At 38.4% G+C, this 19,833-nt stretch overlaps 1 long non-coding RNA gene across 1 annotated transcript in view; it reads right to left on the bottom strand.

Moving 5' to 3' along the window:
• The window catches only part of LOC124908062 (uncharacterized), a 39,374-nt gene that overhangs the window by 12,925 nt on the left and 6,616 nt on the right, over positions 1-19,833 (bottom strand). The window contains exons 2-3 of the long non-coding RNA XR_007088698.1: positions 19,138-19,254; positions 18,283-18,332 (exon numbers count right to left, since the gene is read on the bottom strand). This is a non-coding gene — a long non-coding RNA (uncharacterized LOC124908062). The remainder of the gene's footprint in view (positions 1-18,282; positions 18,333-19,137; positions 19,255-19,833) is intronic.

Here is a 19,833-nt window from a genome sequence, read left to right as displayed (position 1 = left end):
TACTAGTAATTGAGAGAAAAAGTAAAAACCTTTCCTCTCCCATCACAAGGTTTATGGCTGACACTCCTGTAACAAAACACAGATTAAGCAGGGAAAAGCATAACAAATTTATTTAATATAAGTTTTATGAGAAACGGAGACCCAAAGACCCAGGGAAAACTGTAATTTTGTGCTTAGGTTTGATGAGGAAAGGACAGTTATGTAGAAGTACAACTGGACAAAAGAGGGTATGATCTAATAGTAATAAACTCAGAGAAATTTAGCAAGGCCTGTTTCAGTTCAGATTCTTCTTGGATTCTCTGTGTCTTTGTTCCGTTCCTCCACGTATACAGAAGGACACCTGTCACATGGGGGCCTCTCGTGGAGAAGGGAGGGAGAAGGTCAGAGAGTCACCTTCCTGCCTCTGTGGTTTTTCTCAATTTCCATCAGCTTAAAATACTCCATATGTGAAGGGCCCACAATTTGAGGTATCGTGTTCTGAGTCCCTATAGTAATTTTTTCCAAGAAGATGTACCGTGAAAAAAATAGGCTAACTCAACTGCAGTAAAGAGAGAGAGAAAGAAGACTGAAGCTTAGACACACGCTATTTAAATTGGCAAGTCTGAAATTGTTTTATCTTTTATAACTTAATTTTCTTCTTTTCTAATTTTTTTCTCACAAGTTTATTTTTTTCAAAGACAAATCTGCCTCCTTGAGAAAGAGAGACACTTTCGTTTTAGAAAATAAGGCTCCAGTTTTAGAAAAGATAGAGTATACAGTATGTACTATGAAACAAAAAAAAAACAAGAGAATTTGATGACTGAATAACTTTTTACAGCAGATTAGAATGCATGCCATTCCTCAGCTTCTTTTTAATTCCTATTTACAATTGAATTTTAAATACAGGATGGCCTGATAGTGTTGAGAGAGGCAGTTTTGTTACTTATTTTAAAGTCTTTATGTCAGCCACAGTAATTATGTTTGGGCAATAATATTCTTCTATTATTAACTTGTGGAATTCTGATTCTTCCCCTATCAACGTACCTAAAATTATTCAGTTAAAACCTAGAATTTAGGGTTGGAAGGTAAGCCTCTATGAGTGTTTAAAATTGTTTGCTAATTGCCATCTGGATTCTGCAATTCTTAAAGCATGTCTGAACAACAGACTTCACACAATTTTAAATTAATGCAAATCTACATTAATTTAAAAATATATCCATGTTTTTATTGATGGAGACAGAGAAAAGCTGTCAGAAAAATAGGATGAACCAAACTAGAATATTGAATTATGAAAAGTTTAGCAATAGCTGTAATATCAAGAGTACACTCTTTCAGTTACATTTCAAGTTTTAACCCCACATTTTCCTATAATTAACTTAAATCCAAAGGGCAGGCATAATACTTACTATCCAACCTAAATAATTCAAAACCTATTTATTAAAATATCCTAAATATCCTATCCAAAGTACTGAATAAAAAGCTTTTTAAATGACAGCTGGCCATTGCTGTTCTGCTCTCTCAAGGTTGTTAATAAACATTCACCCATTTTTTTTTTCTTTTGAGACAGAGTCTTGCTCTGTCAGCCAGGCTGGAGCGCAGTGGTGCAATCTCGGCTCACTGCAATTTCCACCTCCTGGGTACAAGTGATTCTCCTGCCTCAGCTTCCCAAGTAGCTGTGATTACAGTCGTGCGCCACCACACCCGGCTAATATTTGGATTTTTAGTAGAGATGGGGTTTCGCCATGTTGGTCAGAATGGTCTTGAACTCCTGACCTCAAGCAATCCACCCACCTTGGCCTCCCAAAGTGCTGGGATTACAGCCATGAGCCACTGACCCTGGTCAAACATTCACCTTTTAAAATAAATGAATATATCCAAATACCGAACTACTGAACAGATTTTTCAATAAAACTTGGAAAGCTTAAGTTGTCCAAAGCAGTATTTCCCAAAAGTTTTCTTGGCACATTCAAATAATTTTATATTCTCCTTCACTCTGGCTAAATGTAAACTAAACAAAGAGAAGTATGACTGGTTTGACACAAGTGAGTGACCAGAGTTGGTGTCTTCTTGGAACTGACCTTGTGTTACCATATGACAAACCAAAGCCTTCAAAGGGCAGGGATCCTTATGATTGAGAAACCACCCCTGGAATAGCCCAACCCATTCTTAAAACCTTTAATCTTCTATGAGTAGTTATGAAAGAAGGAGGTTTAAATTACTGTCTGCCATCCCAGAAAGTAGAAATACCTAGTCTCTAGAAAAATTTCTGTTACAAATCAACTTTTAACTATATTTTTTCTCTAAGTTGGGAAAACTCCAGCATCTCCATTACCCTAGAATTAAAAAGAGTTTCCAATTGTTCTTAAAAATATGACAAATGAACAATAGTTCTGTTCTGTTTTTTTCAGCATCTGAATTAACTCTGTGTGTAAGGGTATGCCTCTGAAAAACAAGAGAGCTGAAATTCACCATGATCCCAAAATCCAGAAATCTGTTTTTTTAAGTGAAAGTCACAGTCTCAAAAATGTCCTTTGGCCATTGAATCATCTCTGTGTTCCAGCTGACCCTTTTTTTTTCCCCTTTAGACCTTCTTAAAGCCACTAGAAATTTATATCTTGAGAGATACGTATCATTTTTAAAATAAAATCCCTTACCGGAACTCAGATACAAGGTCGCTAAGGTCGCTAAGGTCGCGCTTTGACCTACTCTAGTGAATTGATAGATTGGGCTGACTGTACCATGCTGCTCTTCCCTGGTACTCCTTGAATATCCTACACCGAGTGGTTACTTACACAGATTTAAATGTGAAAGCTGGTGGAAATTAGCTATGATTTTCTGCCAAGGGCATGAAAGGCTAGCTAAATGCTACATTTGAACATTTGAAGGTTTTGTTGTGTCCACCAGCTTCACAAAGAAGATGGAACAGAAATGGCAAAGAAAAATGGTTTTTGTTAAATAAAGAAAAAAGCTCTAAACTAGAAATGTCAAATATAATCTAAGCCAAGGAGATATTCAAAAGCCAAGGGTGACATCATCACCTTTCACCTTACTATTATATCAACAGACCCTGGATATTTTCAAGTGGAATTACATTAAAATATGTTTATGTGATTTTAAAAGAATAAAATATTACTATTTCAAGAGTTAATACTATTTCCCAAGGTACATAAGTCCCCAAGGATTTTAGATTAGAATATGATATGTGCCTTACATGTCTAAGCAAGGTAAAAAAAATGTTAGCTTAATGACAAAATTGAGCAAATACACTGGGAACATGACGTGCCCTAAAGTTCACTTATAATGAAAAGAAAAATAATCTGAAACCAAATACTTTGGAGAAATAGGACAAATAAATTCAGAATCAAGTAGATAGTCAATGGTGAAGCTAGAAATTGAATTTACGAACATATTCTATGCCCTGTTCGTAATAAGTTCCAGAAGTCCCAGGTTTCCATATTATGTTTAGTATTTTTATTATGGTTTTTTATTGTTATTTTAATGAATAGAAACATTTTATACATAAAAGAAATGATAAATTAATGAGTATAACCTATTATAACAATATTGGTAGCACATGTTCAAGATAGAAGATAAATCATTTCGAATATGTTTAAACTCAAATTCTAGTTTTGAAAAAATAGGCCCACAGCAAGGAAAACACATAATCATACAGGAAGATGTGGAAAGTGGCAAGTAGTTTTATGTAGCCCCATGTATATCCCTTGTTCCTCCCCAGCCTCCCAGGCCCTGTAGGTCTGTGCTGTATTATTCTATTATTCCCTGGGGAGGACTGGTGTTCTCGTTTTTGTAGTTCACATGTAGCAAAGTCAAGCTTGAATCCACTTGACTTTTTTGCTTGTAAGAGGCAAGTCCCTTGTAACCAAGGCAACTGATATTAGCAGTGGTTACCTATTTCACATTGGTGTGCTGTCCAAGGTTATATTTTCAGCCATAATGTACATCTTTGATGACTTCAGAGCTCCAACCAATATTGAGAATCTTGGGAAGGCCTTTTCTAAGTGAGAAGGGATTCTTTCTCCTAGTGTCTTGTTTTAATTAAATAAAGTTTTTTTTATTTTAGAATAATTTTAGACTTGCAGTAAAGTTGGAAAGATAATACAGAGAGTTTCAGTATACCCCTCACTCATCATTAATATCTTACATTACCACAGTACATTTGTCAGAGCTAAAAAAACAACAAAACAAAACAAAAAAACACCAATATTGATACATTATTAACAAATCCCCAGATTTATTTGAATTTTACCAGTTTTTCCATTAATATTCTCTTTCTGTGTCAGGATTCAATCCAAGGTATCACATTTCATTTACTGGTCATGTCATGGCTTGTCTTCCTTGTCTCCTCTGGTCTATGACAGTTTCCTGCTATTTCTTTTTCATGACCTTGATAGTCTTGAGGAGTACTGGCCAGGTATCCTGTATAATGTCCCCCAGTCTTGGTTTGTCTGATATTTTTCAGAACTAGACTGGGATTATACATTTTTGGAAAGAAAGGTGGAGAGAAATGCCCTCTCATTTCACCTTATCAGAGGATATGTGATATCGACCTGACCTCTAACCACATAACCTTCATCATTTGGCTAAGGTAGTGTTTGCCAGGTTTCTCCATTATAAAATTACATTTCCCCCTTTCCATAGTCTGTTAATTTGGAACTACTCACTAAGTCTAGCCTACATTCAAAGAAGAAGGAGTTCTACTTCCTGGAGGGGGAGAGTATGTAACATATACTAAATGGAAGTCTTTTGTAGGTAAGATTTGTCTCTATTTATTTATTTATTCATCACTATTTATTTCTATCAGTATATACCACATATGTTTATTTTATACTTTGGGTTTTTGATATTATGATTATACACACACATACACACACACACACACACACACACACACACACACACACACCCAGATTTTCCTCCACGGTTCCTAGTTCATAACTCCCATAACCTTTGTTACAGTCCTTTGTTATAATGTTGGGGCACTTTAGGCCTCAGAAGCAGGCCTCAGGAGACAAAATCTTTCTCTCTGACCTTCTTCTGCCCTACTTTCACCTGCCCAAGGTAGAACTCTAATCTGATTGTGGGTCATAAGACCCTCATTCCAGACAGGGTCCCTGCTTTGTACTCTCAAGGAAGGAAAGTCTCACAGACAGACCACAAGGAATCCGAACAGACAAGCCTCATTGTGTTTAGAAAATGCACTTTTTGGCCAGCCATGTTTCAACAAGGTTGTCCATGAAAAGACAGGTTTCGGGGAGCCTCCAGAGAGCTGAACACATAAAGGCTCACAGGAAGATGAAGAATAACTCGTCCATGAGCTGGGAGGGTGGTGTACCCCAACTCCACAGGGACAGAAGCTCCTGCACTTGGGACCCCTTTGACCTTACCCTATGTATCTCTTCATCTGACTATTTATTCGTATCCTTTAAAATATCCTTCTTAATAAAGCAGAAAACATAAGTAAGTGTTTCCCTGAGTTCTCTGAGCCACTCCAGCAAATTAATCAAACCCAAACAGGAGTCATGGGAACCCCAACTTGAAACCAGCTGGTCAGAAGTTCCAGAGGCCTGGACTTGTAACTGGTGTTTGCAGTAGGGGGTGGGGAACAGTCTTAGGGACTGAGCCTTCAACCTGTGAGATAGGATACTGTCTCCAGATAGATGGAGATAGTGTCAGAACTGAATTGGAGGACACCCAGCTGGCATCTGCTGCTTGGCATGTGGGGAAAATTCCCCCCCAAATTTGGTCATAGAAGACTTCTGTGTTGATTGCTGTGGTGTTATGCCAGCAGAGGAAAAACATGGTTTGAGAGAGTTTTATCCTATACAGGGTTAAAATCCAATACTATGTTATCTATTTTATTACTCAAATTGTTCCAGATCTTTCAGGTTGGCACCTGTATTGCTTTGATGTGACCCCATTCTACTAGTCAACTTATTTTATTTCCTTGATTTAATCTTTTGCACAGCAAACCATCAAACATGCTGTATATTTTGCTCATTTGTCTTTTTATTGTCTAGGATTCCCCTTGAAAATGTAAGCTGCTAAAAGCAAAATTTTTCCTCTTGTGTTCATTTCTGTATCCTCAGTTCCTAGAACAATGCCTGCCCTTTGTAGAAACTCAAAAATGCACGTTGAATAAGTTTATTCCCTCTTGGTCATTTCAGGATCTCAATTCAGTCATTTCAAGGTCCTGGGCCTTCCTCCCTCTTCCCTGGGGGCTGCATTTTTGTTCTACTTGGACATATGTAGAGTCATGGCAACAGGGGAAAGGGTACCTGGTCCATAGTTGTCAGACGTGATAGTCATAAGGCAAGAGGAAATAAATAACAAGAAATACCTGTGCACTCATTATGATTTCCAGTTGAATAGTCTGTACACTTTGCAGCCTCCTCATCCCTGTTGTGTTGTCCTTTTGGATTTTCTCACTCTCTGCCCCAACTCCCAACACCATCTCAGAGACCAGGAATTCTCTGCTGCCTAAACGCAGGAAGCTGCCTGCAAGCCCATTTGCTTGCAAAGGACTCACTGCCGAGCCACCACAGCAGCCCTTAGCCAGCCAGTGGATTCACAGAGAAGCTGACAGTCTCCTTGGGCTGCACTTGAAAAGGAGTCACATGCAAATTTTTTCTGTGGGATCTTCTATAGGATCTTTATGTAGGATTGTGATCACCCTTGCTGTCTTGAACCATGGAGAGTTGGTACATAATGAATTCTGGAAGTTTCTTTTCCTCATCTTCCATGCAGAAAGGGATTTTATATCTCTGCCTGGGGGAGGTAGGGGTGGGTGGTAATATTATCTCACATTTGTGATTAATGGATCAGCTTTACCGAAGATTTCCTTTGATGCTTGATGCTTAAAGTGAAGATTATGGAATTCAAAAAAAAAAAATCTTTTTTTCTCTCAAAAAGCTCTTGCAAACCAAAAGCACCTGGCTTTCAAGATGTAGTTCTACCATAGATTTTTCAATGTATTTAGAAAAGTAAATAACTTTTTCTTCTTTCCTTACTCTTCTGTGTGTGGCCATGCCCAGGGCAAATGAATATCTTGAAGGGCTTTGGCTGGGTGAGGGAGTGGAGGGGGAAGGAGCAGAGTGTAGGAAGTTGGAGCAAACCCAGGTCAACAAACCCACCCTAATAGCTCCAGAATGTGTTCTGCCACACAGAATATGCTGCTGGAAGTTTTATAAAAACTCGTAAACGCAGGCCTAGCAGACCTAACTTGTCTCTAAACAAAGCAGCCAGGTAGAGCTTCTTGTATCACACTTGGAGTCAGGAGATGAGGCAAACCTGGCCATGGCTTACTTGCTGAAGGGCGTGACAGCCAATAAATGGCTTCATTGGTTTATCTCAGGAAAAGCTGTAGCAACAAAAACGTGACCTTTCAGGAACTAAGTGCCCTGGAGTAGTGGTCTCCAAAGAGGGGGCACACAGTGCAGGCGTTCTAAAAAAAATACGATAAAAACTATATTTTGATTGTTTCTAATTCTATTATTTATTTTATTTTATTTTATTTTCGAGACAAGAGTCTCACTCTGCTGCCCAGGCTGGAGTGCAGTGGCTTGATCTCGGCTGGTCTCAAACTCCCGACCTCGTGATCCACCCGCCTCGGCCTCCCAAAGTGCTGGGATTACAGGCGTGAGCCACCGCACCCAGCCACATTATTATTTCTAATTCTATTCTATCTAAAGAAAAATAATAAAGTAGATAAACTTCACTAGTATTTCGTGTACCAATTCGCCCCAGCACCCTGCCTCGTTCTGTCTGTCCAGTAGCCATAAGCACATTAAATTCCTAGTGTCTTGAGGGAAGGTGGGAGAATCAAGAGGTCGGCAGTGGTGCCCGGGTTGTTCGTTTGCCTCCGGCATATTGTATTATATTGTCATTAATCTGTGCCTGATAGAGCAGCCAGGTTGGTCTGAAATTTGCTGACGTGGCTATTCAGTAAGGAAATCGGCCCCTGGAAATTAATGCAGCACCATATGTCAACCATCACAGAAAGCGAGCTCGAGTCTCAAACGAATGGATAAAACCTAAGGTTTTACCTGACTAGCACTCCAACCACGTTCCACTGTATCATCTTGTCGTTTTAGCTAAATGAACCCTCAAATGTTGGGCAAGTGAGTTAAAGGAGTTGCCACAAAGCAAACCTGGATCAAAGATGACGCTAATAAGGCAAGCAGGAGTAAATTAGAAAATGGCAGTGGTGACACTTGGAAGAGAGCTCTGACTCAGCTGCATGCAGACAAAAACAAGCAGAGTCTTATCCAGAGGCTCCCAGACTTTCATAGTTTATAACGTTCTTGGTGTCTCGGTTTGTCTTGGTGTCTTGGTGTTTTTTCACAGCGCCCCTAGACAAAAAGTTTTAAAATACTCAACAGTTTCATTTATTAAGGAGTTAAGTTCAAATAACTTGTTAAATACCCACTTCCTAACAACTGAGTAGCCATTTAAAAAATAATGCACATAAATTGGAAAAAAAAACTTATTTTCTTCTTTAACAATGACACACGCTTACCAATAGGATATATGCACCTGTTGGGAACTGCACAGCTTCTCAAACCTTAGAATCAAATTGGACACACCACCTTTTCTGTTCTACAGTGATTTCCGGAGGCACTTGGCTTTTATCCCAGTAACCACAAACACCTAATGCTGCAAATACATGCCATCACTGAAAATATTAAAGTGCCACCTAATGTTGAAATGGGAACTACCTTGTGCCAGTAGTTCATTGCCTGTCAATAGATATTGAGTATTGCTCAAAAATTTAAATATCTCACTGAACCCCTCTGAGTTTGCAGTAGCATCCTTGAAGAATATCTGAGTCCAAGTCTAGGGCAGAAATACATAAGATAAGCCTAGAAAATTTTCTCATACCAAGTTTGTGTGGGGGTGAGGGGAATCTATTAAAGACTGCTAGAATCATATCAAAGTATGGCATGGAGAGGGCCTTTCCAAGATGTTAAACCCAAAATTATAATAGAAAATACTGAAATTTTGACCACATACAAATTTTAAACTTTTGTAGAAGAAGAAATACCACAAAAAAGTTAAAAGACAAACAACAAATTGGAGAAAGATATTTGTAACACACACATCAGAAAATGAGGTAATTTCTTTAACATTTAAAGAACTCATAAATCAGTATTTAAAAACCACTGCAATAAAAAATGTATGAAGACATGAAGCATCAGTTCCCAGAAAAACAATTACAAGATCTATTGCAGCTTTCTTCATAATAAGCAAATTCTGAAAATACATGTTTATTGATTATCAAAAACAGAGGGAAACATATAGATTAAAATAAAATTAAAATATATACCAATCAATTACATTGTGTGGACATTATTTGAATCATGATTCAAATTTTAAAATTTCAAAGAAAAACATTTATGGAACATTGGAAATTTGAACATTGACTGAATATCTGATGATGATAAAAGATTTGTGTTAATTTTTTTGGCCTGATATCATCGATGTTTTTAAAAGCACTTATCTTTTTTGATACTCATGCTGAAGTACTTACTTATAGATAAAATTAAATGATGTCTGAGATTTCCTTCAAAATAAATAAGGAGAGAAAAACATAGAAGAGATATTAATGGCTAAGTATTGATAGTGCAGCTGGGTGTTGAGTACATATTGATTCATAAAATTACTCTGTCTACTTGTTATTGTATATTCAAAATTCTCCTAATAAAATGGAGCTTTCTGTTTTGTAAATAAAAGCTATAGATGAGACAGTATAGTCTGATATAATTTTAGGAGTGAAAGCTTCAGAGTCAACAGCCTAAATTCAAATTTAAGCTTCATGGAACAATTACCTGAGCAGACATTTTCTCAGTTTTCTGATCTGCAAATTGGAGAAAATAAAACTCACTTCACTGGATTGTCATAAATATGGCTTTGAGATAAAATCCAAAAATTGGCCAACATAATGCCAGTGACTTTGATTTCAGAAAATCATGACATACAAGTAATTCCTTTCATTACATACATTATTAGTTCTAATTTTTTCCCATGTCATACCTATCAGTACAATGAAGTAGTCTATCAGAGTCTCAAAACAGGAGGTGATATTTGAACAATTCCACGTGGAAATTCTGTTACGCTTGCCATAGGGAATCATGCTCCTGCATGAGACCATTACTCAAGCTGTTTTATGGAAAGGCCCATATGGCAAGGAGCCACATGCCAGCTATGTAAGCGAGCCACTCTGCAAGTGGATCATCCAGCCCCAGTTAAACCTTCACATGGCTGCTGCCCTAATGAACAACTGACTCAACCTCAGGAGAAACACTGTGCCAGAACCACCCAGCCAGGCCACATACCTGATCCACAAAAATAATAAATGCTATGTCAGACCATAAGTGCTTATTGTTATTTACAGACACAAAAATGCTGGGGCAATTGATTACACAATAATAGGTAATACACATATAATGTGAAAATTAAAATTCAGCTATAAAATGCTACCCTGGTTTGCAAAATTCTCAGAAAAATACTCTGAAATGAACTTCAGAGAAGTTTCTTGACAAAATCAGTACTCTTCATGGTAAATATATGGACCAATTAATACAGCACAGTACATGTTGACCCCAAAAATCTTTCTTTTTTGGGATATATAATTCACTTGTTTGAAAACATAGTATTTTCTTGAAAAAATGAACATTTGGTTAGAAATGATCCAATGTAAAGCATAAGATGTAAAATAGATTGTCATCAACAAACTGCTCCCCATGGCATGTGTATTTTTGGTTTGTGGTTAATACTTTTTTCTCAAGTGATCCTAGTATTTTTATTGGAACCATTTGGCAATATTATTTTCAAACATCATTGGAAGTTCCAGTATGGAACTTTGCATGGTGCTATGCAAATAAGGTCAGGGGTGGTTGGAGCTATAAACTATAATTGATGAACACTTTAGTTGAACAGAAGGTCTTTTATTAGCCAAGCACTGTGTTACATGTTTGAAACAGAAAACTCATTCATGTGTGGATTTTAAAAAAACTCAAAGAGTCTGAGAATTCTTTTCCAGTAATTAAATGTTTGATATAAGGGACTGATCAATTCAAGAAAGATGGGAGGAGGACCAGAATGGAAATCATGGGCCACAGAGAACCAAAATGATCAAAGAAAAAGAAAAAGGCTAACCAAGAGTTACAAGACTTGCCCACTGAAAAGATACTAGAAGTTCAGTTAATTACATCACAATGTGTGCTACTTTTAGATTTTCTGTAGTGTAATTATATTAATCGTTCAGTAAACTCAACTCTCAATTAACTCTCATTCTGTGGGGTGAGTTCTATCATTCCCAGAACTTTTAATAACTATGTAAACTGTACTGGGAAAATATTTACACAGAAATATGCATAAGTCACATTATATTTAAGTTTTTAAACCTTTAAAATTAAAAAAGAACTATTTAGTAAATGAACATATCCTAAATCTACTAATTCCCATTCTAAAGAGATACCTCAGAGAAAAAGCTTGCACACATGAACATGAATACATGTAAAGAATGCTCTATTGTTTGTAACAAGTAATATTAGAAACACTAATGAGACAATAAAGCATGGTTTGTTTCATTACTCTTTATTCCAGCATTTACCTAGTTGTTCTTCTTTTGTTTATTTTCCAAATTACCTTTAGATTCCACTTGTCTAGCTCCAGGGGAAAAATTCAGTGGCAGTTTGGCAGGGTAGTGGGGGAAAGCCTTAAATTTATATATTAACTTGAGAATTGACATTTCTGTGAGGTTAAGCCATTCTATCCAAGAATATAGAATGTCCTTCCACTTGCTTAAGTTTTCTCTCTTTTGTTTTTGGGTTTATTTTGTTTGTGCTTTTGTTTTTTTCCCACGGAGTTCATAGAGCCATCCCTCTCTCACTGTCAGACCAGTGGTGTGGGTGGGTTTGAGACTAATCTGATTGAGGGGAAAGAGAAGGTATATGACCCAGGTTCTGTTAATCAGAGTGATGGTGCTGGGTTCGGGAATGGATACACGTCCCAATCTGGACCAATGAGCATCAACTTAAGAACTGTTTCTGGATGTGTAGTAGAAAAGAAAGATACTTCAGCTGGTGTTGCTAAGAGGGTGGATTATAAGTGTTCAGCTGTTCAGAAAGACCCTAAAAACAAAGCCAACACCAAGCAAAAAACAAGTCAAGTTAATGGAGTAAGTTAGGTTCTTGATAGCAATCTCTGCGTAGAAGGATCCAGCTTTGCCTGATCATATACCCTGGAGTCAATATTTTATTTTCTTTGTTTAAGACAGTGCAAGCTGAATTTTTACTACTTACCACTGAATGAGGAAACAAGGCTAATATAATATTTTGTATTATTGTCATAGAATCATTTCTGTCTCCTACCAGACAGAGTCACTCTCATGTCACTTCATCTGGATTAAAGTCTTGAAGCAGGGGAAGGATATAGTAGGAAATATCCAAGCCCCTTCCTTTCAGAGATAGAGCTCATACAAGCAGTTCACACATGTCACTTTCTCTGGAAACTCTTTTGCCTATAGCTGGATGAGAGGGTCTCTGCTTAGGGTCATGCAATTAATCTTATAGTAAGCATTTCCGTTCAGGAAGAAATAGCTTTTCTGGATCTGTCTCTTTCTACCTACTACACACCATTCCATATGCATAAGATTCCTGATAACAGTGTTTCTGACATGTCCCTTTTTTTCTGAACATAAAGATCAGCCTCCTAGTTATTGCTTTACAAAGCAGAGATAGGCTTTCTAACTGATTAAACACATATAAAGGACAGAAAGTATGAACCCGGAGCTACTGTTTCTAGCAGTTTAAATATGTGCAACCAAAAGCTACAAGATATCTTTAATATACTTGTCCTCATTTCGCATATTCTGCTGCTTATTGCCTGAACCACAAAATGCAAAGAGCGTAGCAATACAACAAACCCAGCAAATGTGCAGTACACCATTTCACAGCAGGGGCCTCAGCATCTCACAGCATGTGGCTCTGCCTCTCAATGAGGTGAAAAGCCTGTCACAGACTCACTTTCCAGCTGATGCTGCAGCCTCCTTACACTCTGGATAAGCAATTTCTGTACTATTATTCTCTCACATGGATTCCGGAAATGGCTAATATGAATTTGGCTCAAACTTGCCATCTAAAATTTCAGAAGAAATGACATTTTTATCCCTGTAAATATAAAGTAATTTGTAAATGTATTTGAGGATTTCGCTTTAAATATTTTGTTACATATTCCAGCTACATTTTGTCTCTTGGCAATTAATAACCTTGTTTCTCTTCATTCATCCTAAAATGGATGTCATGTTTACATAACATATATTCTCTTAAAAAGTATCAGAATCTCTAGAAAACTGTAAATCATTACTATCATCCATTCCTCCTCTTTCATTATTAAGCATTTATTATGTACTACTAGACATTTTGAATTGTGCACTAGTAATTCCTTCTTTATTCTGTTCCTCCTCCTTATTTCCCTCCACCTTTTCATTACCTCCCTCTTGTCCTTCCTTTTATTATGCAAGGTCCTTTGCTAGGCCCTGGATTAATTTTCTGTATGTATGTATGTGTGTGTATATATATATATATATATATATATATATATATATATATATATATATTTAATAGAATTAAATTAATCTGTTACAGGTGCATTGACTTGACCCTGAGGTGTGTTTACTGAGGGGTTTAGGATATCTCCATATATGTAAAGGAATGGTGAAGCAGGCAAGCCAACATTCTATTTGCAGCAGGAAAAATAATTACTTTCCAGAGGACAAAAAAAAAAAAACTCATCCTAAGGGAAGAAAAAGTCAATATGTACGTTTTGGTTGTAGGATTAGGGGACAGTGAGTCCTAGACAAAGGGGCTACAGTAAGAATGAGAAATGCTAGAACAGCCAGAAGTTTGGAGGAGCAGAGTGGTTAGCACTGAAGACATCAGCCTCAGCAGCATCAGAAGATGGTGCCCTCAGTATGCATTATGCATGCTTTCATAGCCCTGGCTGCCCTCAGCCCAGGCTTAGGGACAGACCCAGCTGCCCACTAGCACCCTCTGGCTGCCAGGGACATAGGTCCATGGAATTACCAACAAGAGAACCAACCAACACTGACAGACATCAATGGGTACTCCCAGAGGCGTTGCCATTTGGGACTCCAGCAGCAACAGGAACTATCACAATATCCAGGGACTAGAGGGAAATCTCTCTCAGTACTCATTCTTAGAAGCTGAGAAGAACAGGATTGTGTCTATCTTAAATTATTATCCAGCATCTAACACAGTACCTGACACATAGTAGGAATGTTTATAGAATGAATGATTGAACTAGAAAATATCCACATCACTGGATATACCTTTTCAACTATGGGAATACACACCAAACATGGCCTTTAAAAATGTATAAAGGGAATGTTTGTGAACACTTAAAATTCCAGTCAAGGTTACTGAGAGAAATCTCAAGGAGGCAGAATGGGCATTTGGTCGTAAGCAGAATCCTAATCAAGCATATCAGACCTGAATTTGGAAGAAAAAACACATGAATAGAAGATGATCAGCCACAGAAGCAGGGGAAAAAAACAGGGTCCCAGAGGAAGAAAATGTTGGCAAATAATTATGCAACTGTTGCCTACAGAAAAAAAAATTTTGCTTAAGCACTAACATTTTGAATTTCTAGGCAACACCATCCCTAGAGTACCTCAATCTGTTTTAGCAAGGAGACACTTCTTGAATCAAATCAGTCCTAATGTTTGGATTCCTTGCTTACCAAACCTCTGCCAGTCCAGGCATTCTCATCTCTTGACGGTTGTATTGCTCTCTAAAATTTAACAAATGGATCCATAGGAGACAAGTCTCTGAGAGCTAGGTTAATCCAGGCCCCACCAAAGGGATAGCCCTGTCTTGGTATGCTGATGAAAGGAGACTTCTGAGCTCCAGAGCTGGGGACTAGCTACATCCTGATGGTGGTGTCATACTTCCAGGATGAATGCCATAAGCTACGGACATTGACTGGCTACAGCTGTTGACTGGCTAGCCTCCCAGGAGTCACCTCTCTGCTTTACTGTGTACCTTTGTAAGCATCACCTGTCCCCACAGAGAGCCAGCTGAGGAGAGGAGGAAAACGGCAGATACCACTTGGAATCAGTGGTTTGTCATGAATACAAAAAAACTCTGGAGTCCCCCAGAAAGGTGTGAAGAATTTTTAATCCTCTGGATTTATCTACAGAGCAAATAGAAGCAGGACCAGAAAAAAAAAATCCATTTTGTGTCTGTCATTGTGACTATATTTTGTTGGGCCAGTGTCTCTGGGAAACTTTGTTTATACCATATTTATCATAAACCTAACAACATTCAAAGTCACTTACTGTTGGTTTTTATGCATTCCACCCAGTCAGCAATAGCCTCCAAATTACCAAGCTTGTCTATTGATTCTCTTGGTGTCTCTAAAGGATTTGACATTGTAGTTCACCAGTTCTCTTCTCTCATTAGGCACAACAATGTGGCAATATTAGAGCTCACTTCCTATCTACTCCAGAGCCTCCTTCACTAGTTCCCACTTCTCCCGATCCTAAGTGACTTTTCAGTCTTCAGATCTCTAGTCTCCATCTTATCTTTTCCCCCAGCAAGTCCCAACCCATTCTGATTACTCAAAACACACTCAATTAATATTTACATATTGAGCAGCTCCTGTGTGGCATGCTACCATCTCCCTCCATGTTACTCAAGCCCATCCTCAGTTGGTGTCCTGAACTTTAGATGCATGTCCGTAACACAAGTGCCGGACATGTACTTGCTGATGGCCTACCATCACCTCCATCAAAGCACAGTACAACATTTGTGCTTTCTTGCAAGTCAAAACAGCCTAAACACAGATGACAATTATTGACTCAAGCCCAGATATAGAGTAGATTTCAGGATTCTGGCTTCTTTTCTATCTCCCTCAGCTCTGCTGTCTTCCATGGGTTGCTTTAATTCTCAGGCAGGCTTTTTCATGGTAAGATAATTGTTGCTGTAGTTCCAGGACTCAAATGTGCATCTCAGATGATGGAAGAGAGCCTCTCTTCCACAGCCACCGAACAGAAGCTAAGGGTTTTATTCTGACTGATAAATTGGGGCCAGTGTCTACCCCAATTTGCAGATGTATGATCCCTGTGATCAGAGAAATGCTATGAGCTGTTGGTGTACGGCATGGCTACAGGCTCATTCCTGGACTAGTTACTCTGGCAGGCAGATGTGATTATCATGAGTAGCTTAGGCCAAGTACAGCCTATGTCTGGAGCCAGAGGTGTGGTCAGTCCCACCAAGAGCATGGCTTCTAAATAGCAGAAGAATGGTGGAATGGATACTGGGAAGAAACCAGTAGTTTTAACTATAGGATCTTGTTTATTTGTAACCCAGTGAAAAGGAATAATTCTCTGTAGCTAGGTTTTCTAGACAGCTAAGGGTTCACTTCTTATGTTTTTTAACCAGTTTGAACAATATAGTTGAAAAGTGTATTTTTTTGTATTTCTGACTTTTAAAAGATATATACCAAAATTAATTTAACCATTTAATGACAATTTGAGGTCATCAAGATATAAATGTATTATTACATCAGTCACAATGCAGTGACTGACCTCAGGATTACTGAGCTGTGTGTGACCCCAGAGCACTCTTCACTTTAAAAAATTATATCTACTTTTTATGACTTTTCTTTTTCTTCTCTTTCTCTAAATTGCTACTTCTAATCTACAGTGGTATTGAGAACCAGATAATAAAGCTTTTAAAATTTCATATAAATTTAAAGTAGAAATGAAATTGCCTAGGAAGAAATAGGCAAAAGTGCAAACTATGCAGGCAAAGTGCATATTGCCTCTGCATAGGGACATTAACAGTTTTTGTTTGTTTGTTTGGTTTCTCTTTTTTTTCCTATAGCGATTAAGAATAACTTTATGATTTTACACACACACACACACACACACACACACACACAAATGAGTGAATGAAGTAAATAGGATTTGTGTGGTGCCTTCAAGTTCCCCAAGTGGAAAAATGTTCTAGCTGTTAATCCTTGCAGTCTGTGACAACCCTCCTAGCAAATTAGAGGCCTTGTTGTTGAATGCGTGGTTGCCTGGTATGTTTGGCGTTAGAGAGCAGAAGTGGTCATGGAAAAGCCAGAACATATCAGGAGGAAGGTCAGTCACCTATCTACCATGCGGGCTTAGCAGGGAGCCCTTGACCTGGTAGGTCACCCCCAGGCAGAGACTGGACTACAGTCTTATAAAGAGGGAAATTCAGTCTTGCCTGCACCCCAGGGTTGGATAAATGGTGAGGGTGATGACTCAACACTGTGGAAACTCAGAAGTGACAATTTAATAACAAACAATGTAAAGGGATCTGCTACTCACAAGGAATTTTTCTTCTGCCCTAGAAACTAGATGAGGAACCAAAGTATAATTAGAAGGTAGATTTGGTTAGGATAAAATTAGAACAAATGATGAAGTGGCATAAGGTTAAAATAGACTGGTGCATCCATCCATCAACACACTGGGCCACATCTGGCAATCACACCAGACCTAAGCAGCATGCCACTAAATGGTGCTCTTGTTGAACTGCCAAATTTTGTCTCCATGACTCACCATTTTCTTTATTTCACTACCAAACAATTCCTAAAGAAGCCATTTTTTCTTTACATATGTTAAGACAATGCCAGGCTATGGATAAAGGTCGTTGTTCTTTAAGTTACTTTTCATACTTCTCTTTATAGCTATAGCAGTTTCTGAGTTCCAGGGTAACCTCATGGTTACATCCCACTCTACATACCACATTCAGCTTCTAGGAGAGCTGACAGCCAAACAGAAAAGGGCTCAAATACGTATAAAACTAAACTCATTATCTTCTCCGCAAGCTCCTCCACTGAACAAAAGCAGTTTCCCAAACTCACTTTTTAAAACATCACTGTATGCTCATCTTTCACTTTTCTCTCTCCGTTGGTGCCCCATATTCTTGTGGAGGCCAAGTCTTCTTATTTATTCCTCCTTCTCCATGTCTCTCCCATCCATCATTTTCTTTTCACTCCCATTGCCCTACTTCTTTATCTCATTCTGAAATATTGCAATGGCCCAATAACAGGCATCTGTCTCTTCCCTTTTATGCTCATCTGCATATTATTGCCCTATTAATCCTCTAGAAGCGTCCTTATTCAAAACTTTTAACAACTCTCCATTTTGCAAAGAATCACATGCAAATGCCTTGTACTGGTGCTCAAAGCCCTGCCATATTTGGTTTTCATGTTATGTTTTGGCTTTACCTTCTGTGACCCCTCCACATGGGTGCTCTGTATCAGCCTTTGTATAATCACTATGGACAAATGAAAAAATCAAATATAAGCAATGTTTATGTTTTGCAATGCAAACCTACAGGAAAGAAGTCTTTGAAATTAGTACCAATAGATGCAGTGTGCAGATTTTCATTTTAACAGCCCATTCGGATTTTTTCTTTCTTTCTTTCTTTCTTTGACAGAGTCTCCCTCTGTCACCCAGGATGGAGTGCAGTGGCGCGATCTCGGCTCACTGCAAGCTCCACCTCCTGGGTTCACGCCATTCTTCTGCCTCAGCCTCCCGAGTAGCTGGGACTACAGGCGCCCGCCACCATGCCCGGCTAATTTTTTTGTATTTTTTTTAGTACAGATGTGGTTTTGCCGTGTTAGCCAGGATGGTCTGGATCTCCTGACCTCATGATCCACCCACCTCGGCCTCCCAAAGTGCTGGGATTACAGGCTTGAGCCACCGCACCCGACCCAGACTTCTTTTTTAATTTTCTGCATTGACTTTTATAGACACGTACAGACATTTATAGAACCATGGTTGGTTATCAGGTAATCTATGGCTTCAGTCATGGTTTAGAAAGAAACCTGAAACTGTCCAGTGTAGATCTTCATCCAATGACAGACAGGCATCACATAACTCACATTAACTTGAGTCTACCATCATTCAGAAATATCATGGAAGGTAAATCACTCTGACAGTTGACTTGGTAGAAACCCTGCTTATTCCTCACACAGGGTGTGTCCTTGAGGAGCATAATATGATTGGGCAGATCTGGCCACCTTTCAAAAAGGACCCAACACAAAAAGTGATTTGAGCAATAAAGGAAATATACTGACTCGTTTAACTCAGAAGTCCAGGCATGGCTGTTTACAAATGTTCAAACATGGTCTTGGGAAGCTCCTCTGTATCTTAGCTCTTCATTTCTCTATGCTTTATTCCCCAGAAGAATTTTTCTGTATGGGAGCAAAGATGGTCAACAAGATTAGCATCTCCTAAGGATGCTAAGGATGTAAAAGGATGAGGACAGTTTCCTAATCAGTCAGTAAACATCCTACAGTGGGTTCTCATTGGCCCAGCTCAAGTCACATGCCTATTACTGAGCCAATCACTGTGTCCAGGAGCGGAGTCGGGTATGATATTTTTATTACCCAGGACCACCTCATATACTTTTGCTCCCTTCTGAAGCCAGAGGATGGGATCAACCCCATTGAACTACATGGACTGAGAATGGGAGCAAGGTGTTTCTCCAAAGGAAAACCAAGGTGCTGTTATAAGAAGAAGACAGAACAGAGAAAACAAACAAGTGAATAGTAGGAGCAGCTTCTTGCATTTGTGGACATGCCTATTACCTCTTACTATAATATGTTCATTAATGAGACCCACAACTTTATATTCAAAATTTAAAATAAACTTTGGCAATATGCATCAATATTTTTACATACACTTAAGCCAGCAATCCTATTTCTAGAAATAATAATAATAGCTATGCTAATTAAGTGCTTCATTATGTGGCCAACACTGGCCTAAGCAAT

The sequence above is a fragment of the Homo sapiens genome, chromosome 2 (assembly GCF_000001405.40).
Source record: "Homo sapiens chromosome 2, GRCh38.p14 Primary Assembly".
NCBI lineage: Eukaryota > Metazoa > Chordata > Mammalia > Primates > Hominidae > Homo > Homo sapiens.
The sequence above is the reverse complement of the archived record's forward strand: the minus strand, read 5'-3'. Positions and strand labels throughout refer to the sequence as shown.